Source organism: Homo sapiens, chromosome 2, assembly GCF_000001405.40.
Source record: "Homo sapiens chromosome 2, GRCh38.p14 Primary Assembly".
Taxonomy (NCBI): Eukaryota; Metazoa; Chordata; class Mammalia; order Primates; family Hominidae; genus Homo; species Homo sapiens.
The window spans coordinates 13,503,236-13,513,725 of record NC_000002.12 but is presented as its reverse complement, the minus strand read 5'-3'; the positions used below and the strand labels follow the sequence as shown (position 1 = coordinate 13,513,725).

The window sequence follows — 10,490 nt, the reverse complement described above, 5'->3', positions numbered from 1 at the left end:
AAAATTCTAAATTTTGCTACTTAAGAAGAATTAGAACGTTTATTCAATTGTGATACTAAAAGAATGTTTTAGTGATCATATCTTCACTTTTCATCTTAGAACCCTCAGAGCAAAATTTAACAACTGCAATAACTGTGAATTCAGGCAGACTTTTTTATGATTATCTTTTTGTATTGATCTAGGCTATAAGCTCTTGAGTAGCTTTTGCATGGTCCAGGCTTGTTTATTATTTTTGTCTTTTATAAATCCACATACATATATATAATATATATATCATATATAGTATGCGTATTATACACACACACACACACACACACACACACACACATATATACAGTATATGTAAGTGGAAAACTGGAATTTTTTACTCAAATCAGTCTCCCCCAAAATTTGGAGACTGGGAATTTTTAAGAATAATTTGGCAGGCAGGGACTAGGGAATGCATACCACTGATTGGTTGGGGTGAAATCACAGGGGTGTGGAAAGTGGTCCTTGTGTGCTGAGTCAGCCCAATATGAGGGTCAACAAAAGTGATTTTTATCTATTTTTACCTATAAGTAATTGGGGAAGTTACAAGTCTTATGACCTTCAGAATAATGGCTGCTTATCATGTAACTAAACCTATATCTTAGCAGAATCCAGGCCCCTCTCATAATCCTAACATTATGGGCTTTCATTAGTACTACAATGGCAGTTTTGGTCCCAAATATGGAAGGAGTGGTTTTTGGGAAGGGTTATTATCATCCTTCCTTTAAGGTTAAACTACAAACAAAATTCCTCCCGAATTTAGTTTAAGCTAGAACCAGAAATGAAGAAGGACACCTTGGAGGTTAGAAGTAAGATGGAGTCAACAATGTCAAAACAATATTCAGGGGGAAAAAACAATCATAGAGATATACCATTTGTTGAATAATATCTGCTAGTGATTTTACCTAAATTAACTACTTTAATCCTGAAAGCAATACAATGATAACAGAGTTAGTAGATTTTAGAGATAAAGAGCTCAACCTTGAAAGAAGTTAACAGTTTCCTAATGTCCCTTTGTTACCCTCATTCAACCAAGGTCTCTAAATGCTAAACAGATGCTCTTCCCACCCCACCCTCATTGAGCAGGCTTCCAGCAATAAGTGGGGACAATGGAGCAAATACACAAACTTAAGTGCTCACCAGTAGTGTCCAAACATATGGTGTCATAATCACCTCCCCTAATAATTCCTGTTCCTGTTTCACAGTGGCCTTTTTCTAAAGAGACATTTGGATTAAACTTTTATTATATCTGATGACCTCCATGTATTGAGAAAATAAACAGGAGAGGAAGAAAAGTGTGGAGGATGACAGAAGTCAGAGGACAGTCATGGGCATGAGAAGCCAAACGATGGCACACAACTATCTCACCTGAATGGAGTCAAGTTCTGGCCCAGGAGGAAGCTGCGTTGTCCCAGATGAAAAATTAATTTGTTTTCCTGCATGCCTCTGAGGGCTTTCTCTACAGAAGTCTGCCTCTTGGAAAATCTTTCTTCCTTTCTCCTTCATTTTATTACTGTGTTCTATAGCTGTGGTCCTACCTAATCAGGTCACCCAATGCCTAAAGCACAGAAAGTTTATAATGCTGAAAAGGGAGCAAATTATCTCATCTCATTTGTTATCCCAGAGACTAATTAGTATGCAAAATGACCATTTTCCCTGGACTCTACTTTTTTCATTATCTATGGAATGACAGAGACACCTCAAGGAAGATAACTCAGTTCGACCACCTGCTTTATCCTTTGGATATCTGTGGATAAGACATGTCAGCAATGCACATTCTCCCAAAGTTATTTGAGCTCTCTTGCAGGCCATTTATAGAGCAGGTCATTCACATAAGCAACAGCAGTGAAAAGACTGGTGAAATCAAGAAAAGCTTCTATAGCTTGGCATAGAAATTAAAACAAACAAATAGACAAACAAACAAAAGCCTCCTTTAGCACTGGTTAGAATAGCCATGGATTTGAAGTCTTGTTGATGCAGAGGGTACACAAGGCACAGGATTACGGCTGAACAAAAGCATTCAAAATATGTTTTAAAGAAATCCATATTTCTAGATTCTCTTGAAAAATAACGATCCCATATTCCAACAGGACACCATTTCACTTGAACTTGGACCTGACATTGGATGTCTCTTTAGATTCGTCATGATATCCCCAGTTTTTTGCAGTCCCTACTATACATAAAATATAATCATAACTATTTAAACTTTGCTTGCTTCTCTCAGTTATGTTAAGTATTAATTCTTGTGCCTGTTGAAATTTGCTAATTCTTCCTTCAGGAAAATGCCAAAAGCAGATTAAAGCATTAGTGTGAAAATGTTAAGAGCTGTGTTTTAATGGATTTTGAATGAGACACATAATCTAACTTTTTTATTTCTTTCATTTGTAAAAACAACTCTGTGGGTTAGTCATTGTATGAGGCAATAGAAATTTATTCTATTTAATTTCCATACGAACAGTTCAAGCTTTCTGTTATCCACATTTTCTGATGGAAAAATTAGATGTGAGAAAAGTAAAAAAAAAAAATCCAAGGTTATAGAATAATTAGAGTTCAAACACAGATCATTCTTGCTCCTGTGACTTATTCAGAAGACCAAAATTTGAATCATAGCTCAATATTTACTCCAGAGAAAACCCTGAAAAAACACCATTTATCAAGAGTGTCATGGGATTCTGACAGGGAGTACTTCCCAGGCAACATGGGTTACTCAAACCCTCTGAGGCGCAATTCCTTCGAATATTTTTTCCAGAGTAATATTCTTCCTTTAGCTCTTCTCATTTTCAAACTTCAACACACCTTGCTATGTATTTTCTCCCAGAAACTTCTTAAACATTTATGGATCCTTCATTTATGCTCATACATTTTCTTCATCCTGACCAGACTTTCTCCCTTGCTTCAACTGTACTCTCAGAAGTCTCTGAACTACATGAAGACATTAAACTATTCTTGATGTTTAGTGTCATGATTGTTCTGATACAGCATTCATCACATTTTATTAGAGCTAGTTGTTTATGATTTTGTATATTTTACCAGATTTCGAATTACTAACAGTAGCATTTTGTCCCATTTTTTAACGCCCAGGAGCTACAACAGCAAATGGCAATTAAGAATTTTTTAATTAAATTTGTAGACTGAATAAAAAAGCATATCAATAAAATAATATATATAATTGTATATTAGTTTGAGAATTATTTTTCTAACCAGATCTTTCATCTTGATTAGACTTTTTCAATATCCAAGAGCCAAAAAGATAGTTGAGTATATTTGAAATAATCAAATTTTTAGGTTGCTAATTAAGATAAAAATTGGTGAGACTAAGATAGATATATAATGAGACTGATACTCTGAAAGATATTCTAATGGAATATAAATACATTTTAACTACTTAGAATCTGGAGGCAAGAAGAATATTGATTTTTCTGCCAAGCAAGCAAAGTTGGATTTTGTATGATAAATGACTGCAGAAACTCATTTATCAAAGTTATTGTGACATGAAAGATGTATAAGATCTGATTTCATATGCTTATCTCAACTTTTTTATAGGTTAAAGAGACATTTATTGAGCATATACAATGTCCTTTGTACCAAGACTATGGAAATGAAAGACTAAAGACATGATTTCTGTTATTCAGTGAACAAGATTGATAAGTCAACAGGACATTGTAATAAAACATCAAACAGTGATAGTCTATGAATTATCTCTGTGTCCTTTGGCAGGCCATGCAATTTACTTGTTTTGATGGCTTCATCTGTAAAACAAGCTAAGTGAATGAAGTACAATTTAGAGATTCTTCTAACTCTGGTATTTATAAACATTTCTATGAAAGAATAGTCTGATGTCTTTACATCTAAACATGTCTCCAGAAGAGCAAATATTAGCTTTCTAAATATTTCCAGATATGTTATGTAAGTCTACAATTCCAAAACTATGTGTTGAAGCATCCTGCAGAACCACAGAGATAACTCTAAGAGACAGTTTACATTTTTTGAAACAAAAGAAGAGATATTTAATATCTTTTGAAAGCTATATGAACTAGCAGCTTGAGATATTTCACAGTTTGCACATTAGATTCCATTGCATTCCTTTCAACAATGTGAAGCTGGGATTTTAGCAGGTGTTGGACTTAGAAGCAAACACCAATATAAAGCAAGAAAATAACTGTGGAACAGAAAATGAGGGTGGTGGTGTCCAACCTGATTCCAGGTTTTAGAGGCAGTACAGTACCCAAAAGTCACTTTTACTAGTAAGTAATTCTGATTATTTAAGAAGGAAACAAAAATGTTTTTTCTATCATTTAACATACATAACATATATATTTTTATTGTTCCAATTTAGGATATAAGTATTTATTAAGTTGTTTGAAACTTTTTAATAAATACATTGAAACTGTTTGGTACTTCTGTTGGCCTAAAACATGCCATGAAAAAATTACTGTGATGCAAAGAGCACAGTGAAATGGGAAAACTTGAAAATATCTAGGGTAAATCATTTCAAATAGGTTTCTCAGTTATAAGCAAAGTGGGTATAACATTGCTGATCAGAGCTATGTTGGAGTCAAACTTTCATTCAATAGATTAAAAATATTTACACTGAGAAAAGACATATATATATATGTTTTCCTAGAGTCACATAGCTAGTTAATGATGGGTTGTTCTATCTCTCCATGTTGTCTATACTAACGGTACACAGATAGACTAATCATCCTTCTACAATCCTTTTACAAAATACATATTTCTACAGAAAGGTTAAATAGAAAAGAAACAGCAGCTGCTAAATAATTTCCATAATTATGGAAATTAGGTGTGAGCACCATTCTCTTGGTAAATTGCCAATATGTCCAGCTGGTAGAAACAATTGGCCAGCTATGCATGAAGAGGACAGTGTTACTTTTTACATAAGACATAGAAATGATGATTTTATGTAAATAAACAATTTTTTACACATGTATTCTCTTGTCTGATTTCTTTTTCATTTTTAAAAAATGTCACCTACCCATTGAAGTAAACAGAGAGAATACAGAAATAATGAAAAATGATTACAAGAAATCTGTCATTTAATCACTCCTATATATTGATAATACCTTGAGGTATACCATGTAATACTTATTGCTTCCTATTAATGAACATTTAAAAATTATTGCAATCACAATGGATGTAAAATTGGTTATTAGTCTAATCCTCACCATAGCCAATTTCCATAAAGTATGTAATCTTTATAAAAAGTATTTTAATTATAGCATGTTGTTCCGATAAGCAGAATTACCATAAATTACTAAGCTTTTCAAAAATAATTGAACATTATATTTTTCTTCAAAAATTTCACTATCATACCCAATTCAGTTAATATGATGGATACATAGACATATTTAATTTATTATCTTCAAAATCTACATGAACCTGACAGTGAAAGAATAAAAAAAGATGTAACCTCAAAATAAAAGAAAGAAAGGGAATGATATAAGCAGTGAAAACAGACAAGAACATTTTGGAAACTGTAAGATGAATGGGTGATTTGTACTTTATGAAGGTTGAACTTCAATCTTATAGGTAGTGTCTACATATCCCTGAAAAATTTAGAAATATACTTTGTCAATATTCTAAATAAAAGTAACTTTAAATGTGGGATAAAAGGGATCCAAAAGGACAGTAGCGATATACCTTATGAAAAACAGGGGCTCAGCAAAAGTCTGCCGAAAGAATTTTGAGTCATGATTTTCCTCTTCCACATTTTGTTCTCAGGACACTAACAGCCAAGCTTATAGACCCCTCCCACCAGTAAGAATAGTGGATTACTTGCTCTGATCCAACTCGGTAGCCCCATACAAAACATCCGTAGGTGGTCTCTAAGAAGGTGCCATAGATACATCCAGGTCTGCACCTCATACCATGGCATAGACCATCAAATAGGAACACAGAGCTTTCAATAATCATTTCAGTGTTCCCTCAAATATAAACAATCTACAAGTGATTACATTTCTGATAAATGTCAGATAGAATAATAAATATTCCAAAGCAAGTATTATAAAAAGAGATAAGACAAAAAAAACTTCAAAAAATGTTAATATCCTCAAAGAGGTAGGTAAAGTTAATATGTGAAGAAAACCAGAACGTTAGGGATCATCATCCCTTTAATAAATGATTTTTTAAAAAGTTGCAGACATGTTTAATGAAGGCAGGGATGATATATTTATTATAAGTTGTGAAGGTAAAATTGGGAGTTTTCTAAGCATTATCACAAAAGTAGAAAAATATAGAGAATTGGAAGAAAAAAATAAGTAAACTAAAGGTTCTTTTCAGGAGATATCTGAATAAAAGTTGTTCCAGAACAAAGAAAACAAAAAGAATGGCAGGAAAATATCAAAGAAATAATATAAGAACATTTTTCATCATTGTAAAATATAAGGTTTTTAAATAGAAAATAAAAACTGAATGCCAAGCATAAGGAATAAAATGGAATAATAGCACATTTTTGGTGAAACATAAAAATAACAACGTCATGATCTCTAAAAGCTTTCAGAGAGAATAAAAAGCCAACCACGTAAAAAGAATCACGGAATCAAACTGGGCTCAACTTAAAAGTGGACAAAGAAAACCTTTAAAATGCTAATGGGAATGGATGTCCAACCTCTATTTTTCACCCAGAGAAGTTTATAATCAATTGTAAAGGTTCATTTAAAATTTTCAAGTAATCATGATGCTATGGTTTAAATGTGTCCCCTCTAAAATTCCCATTTAATGTAATCCCTATTGCGGTGGTGTTAGGAAGCAGAGCTTTTTGGGAAGTGACTAAGTTATAAGGGCTCTATATTAGTCTGTTTCCCCACTGCTATAAAGAAGTACCCAAGACTGGGTAATTTATAAAGGAAAGAGGTTTAATAGACTCACAGTTCTGCATGGCTGGGGAGGCCTCGGGAAACTTATAATCATAGTGGAAAGGGAAGCAAGCACCTTCTTCACAAGGTGGCAGGAGGGAGTGAGTGCAAGCAGGGGAAATGCCAGACACTTATAAAACCATCTGATCTCATGAGAACTCACTCACTATCATGAGAGCAGCATGGGGGAAACCACTCCCATAATCCAATCACCTCCAACCAGGTTCCTCCTTTGACACAGGGGGATTACAATTCAAGATGAGATTTGGATGAGGACACAGAGCCAAATCATGCCAGGCACCATACTTATGTATAGATTAGTACCTTGTTAAAGGGCTGGAGGAAACTGGTTTAGGCCCTTTTGCCCTTCTGCCATGTGATGACACAGATTTCCTCCCCCTTGGATGATGCAGGAACAAGGTATCATCTTGGAAGAAGAGACACTGGGCCATCACCAGCCAGCACCTTCATTTTGGACTTCTCAGCCTCCAGAATAGGGAGAAATACATTTTTATTGTTTATAAATGACCCAGTCTGTGGTATTTTGTTATAGCAGCACAAAATGTCTAAGACACGAGAATATTACAAATAAGCCTCTCATGGACTTAATAACATGAAGATGCTTAGAAGATGAATATTACCAAAATAAAGTGGAAACCAAGAAAGAGGATGACATGTTGTATCCATTATGGCTCTTGGTTGCAAATGAAAAAAATGCACTTGAACTGTTTGAATGAGAAAGGTGTTCATTAAAAGACATTGTTTATTCAAATACTTTGGGATGGCTAGATTGTTTGTTGACTTATACGGTACAAGGCTAGGGGTAACAGAGACAGGGACAGATTCTAACCACTTCTGAGAACTTTCTAATGAAAATATCACTGCTCTTCCTGTCTACAGTGTTGCACTTTCATGCTCCAGACTGAAAATCAGAGGTCCCATGGACTCCAGAAGTCAGTATTTCCACATGCAGCTGCCATACGGTATAGCTCCCATGCACTAACTGCCAAATCAGCAGTGGGTGCAACTTACTGGATGAATCTAAGTCACTATGCCCATACCCTAGTGGAGTTTGGAAAATGTAGATTTTTTTCATTACCCATTGGAAAGGAAGTAATCACAATGTGGAAAATCAAAAGTGAAGAAAAATTTACTTAAACATTGTTGGGGAGCCATAAGTTAAAAATAAAATTGGTTATAACAGTATAACAGTTGTCTACTATGCATGGATTCCACAAAATAGGTGCTATAACGAAGGAAAGAAGCAACAGGATTGTGCAGGTGTGAGACGAATGACAGTCCCTGGAAGAGGACTATGAAGTAGGCGTTTAGCACATAAAGTAAACATTAGCATCAGACAGTGCAGTGGTGGGAATCAAGAGAGGCATCTCCAAGAAAAATAAATGGCTTTGTTGTATTTTCTGAAATGTTTAAATATATTAAGAGAGGATCTTCAGTTCTGGTGGAAACCTGGACATAAATAAGTGATGTGGCTGTGTATGCAGATTGCTACAGATGGTCCCTGGAACATCAATCCTCCCTGTCGTCACATCTGCAGAGCATTCCCCACATTGACCCTGGTTTTGGTGTGTGAATTGCTTTGGACAATGAAATATTAGCAAAACGTACAAGCAAAGGCTTACAAAGTATGTACCTGAACAATGGAACTTGCCTTCTTTTGCTGCTGTTAACTCTTCTGCCATTTGAAGAAGGCCAGGTTAGCCTGTTGAAGATACATGACATATTTAAAAAGCAGTCCTGAATACTAAACATGTGAATTAGGGAGTTTTGGACATCCCAACCTCAACAGACTGACCAGATGATCAAAATAACATGAGTGATTCATACAAGACCATTAGAATTAGTCATTTAAGCCCAAATTTCTCAACCACAGAAAAACAAAATGGGAAAATGAAATGTTGTTTTCACAAGTTAATAAATTTGGGGTAGTTTTTTATACAACAAAAGTAACTGAAAAATAAATGATTGTTTATATGCAAAGATCTCCCATAATAGAAATCCATAATAGCTATCATTGAATATAAAGTTGGAAGGGGAAAAGAGTATTTAATAGAGAAAAGGAAATGCTGGCAAAGACTGGAACTTTTTTAAATGCTATTTTAGGCCTACAGGCCATTTTTTTCTTCATTTTGAATTGATTTAATCACATTTACTTGAAATTGATGACAGCCAGAAGAAAAAAAAAGTTTTTCAGATAAGCACAGCAAAAAATTGATGACTGACAAAATTGTAAACAGATTAAATCATTGTTTTTATAAGTAATAAAATTTGGGGGTAATTTTTTAATGCAGCAATACATATCTGAAAGAATAGAATATATGTGTGTAGTTTGAAATCACCTCTTTTAAATGTAAGTTATAGGTAGCTGTGTCAAAATAATAAAGCTTTCTGGATACACTCTGTTTCCTACTGTGCCTATCACTCAGCTTTGTGGCACAAAGTTTAAAAAAAAATAAAGCCTGGGCGCAGTGGCTTATGCCTGTTATCCCAACACTTTGGGAGGTCGAGGCGGGCAGATCATGAGGTCAGGAGTTCGAGACCAGCCTGGCCAATATGGTGAAACATGGTCTCTACTAAAAATACACAAATTAGGCTAGGTGTGGTGGCTCATGCCTGTAATCCAAGCACTTTGGGAGGCTGAGGCGGTTGTAACACCTGAGATCAGAAGTTCAAGACCAGCCTGGCCAATGTGGCAAAACCCCATCTCTACTAAAAAAAAAAAAAAAAAAATTACAAAAATTATCTAGGCTTGGTAGCGGGCACCTGTAATCCCAGCTACTCAGAAGACTGAGGCAGGAGAATTGCTTGAACCTGGGAAGCAGAGGTTGCAGTGAGCCCAAGATGTACCACTGTGCTCCAGCCTGGATGACAGAACTCCATCTCAGGGAAAAAAAAAAAAAAAAAATAGCCGGGTGTGGTGGTGCATGCCTGTAGTCCCAGCTACTCAGGAGGCTGAGGCAGGATCTGATGGGATCTGATGATTTTATAAACGTCTGGCATTTCCCCTGCTTGAAGTGAGAGAGAGAGAGAGAGAGAGAGAGAACTCTAGATGTCTGCACAAGTTACCCCTCACTATTCAGTTAAGCACAGATCAGAACATACACCTGAGGAAACTACCAAAGTCAAGGCAAGAAACATCCAAAAATATTAGAGGTAACAGTGCCCAGAGTTCTCACAGAGCTGGAACATCCATTCCACCTGCCGTAATGGAAAATGTCTTGAACATGAAGCAATGTGTAGAGTACACAGATGAGTTTTATCTTAGCAGTGGGAAATAATCACTCCTAATCTGAACAGTGCTCTGATTGTACCCAATAAATCTTAAGCTAAAGACACAAAAGAACCAAATGTTTCCCAGGTGACTTAACTATCCCGAAAGCAGAGCTCAGAAATATTTATAGGGATATTAAAATCTCCACACTCCCAAAACATAAATCACAATATCTGGCATCCAGTAAAAAATCACCAGACCTAAAATGAACGTGAAAATATGCCCTATGAGAAAAAAATTCATTTAAAACCAACTAAGAACTGAATTAGCACACATGGAAATCAAATCATTTATTATTA

The 10,490-nt window shown here is 35.2% G+C and overlaps 1 annotated feature.

The window, feature by feature from the left end:
- Positions 767 to 1,299: an enhancer, noted in NCBI's record as "NANOG hESC enhancer chr2:13652552-13653084 (GRCh37/hg19 assembly coordinates)". NCBI's record gives its function as "activates a minimal SCP1, AML or CMV promoter by ChIP-STARR-seq in primed H9 embryonic stem cells {active_cell/tissue: H9 hESC(primed)}" and the evidence as "EXISTENCE:reporter gene assay evidence [ECO:0000049][PMID:30033119]".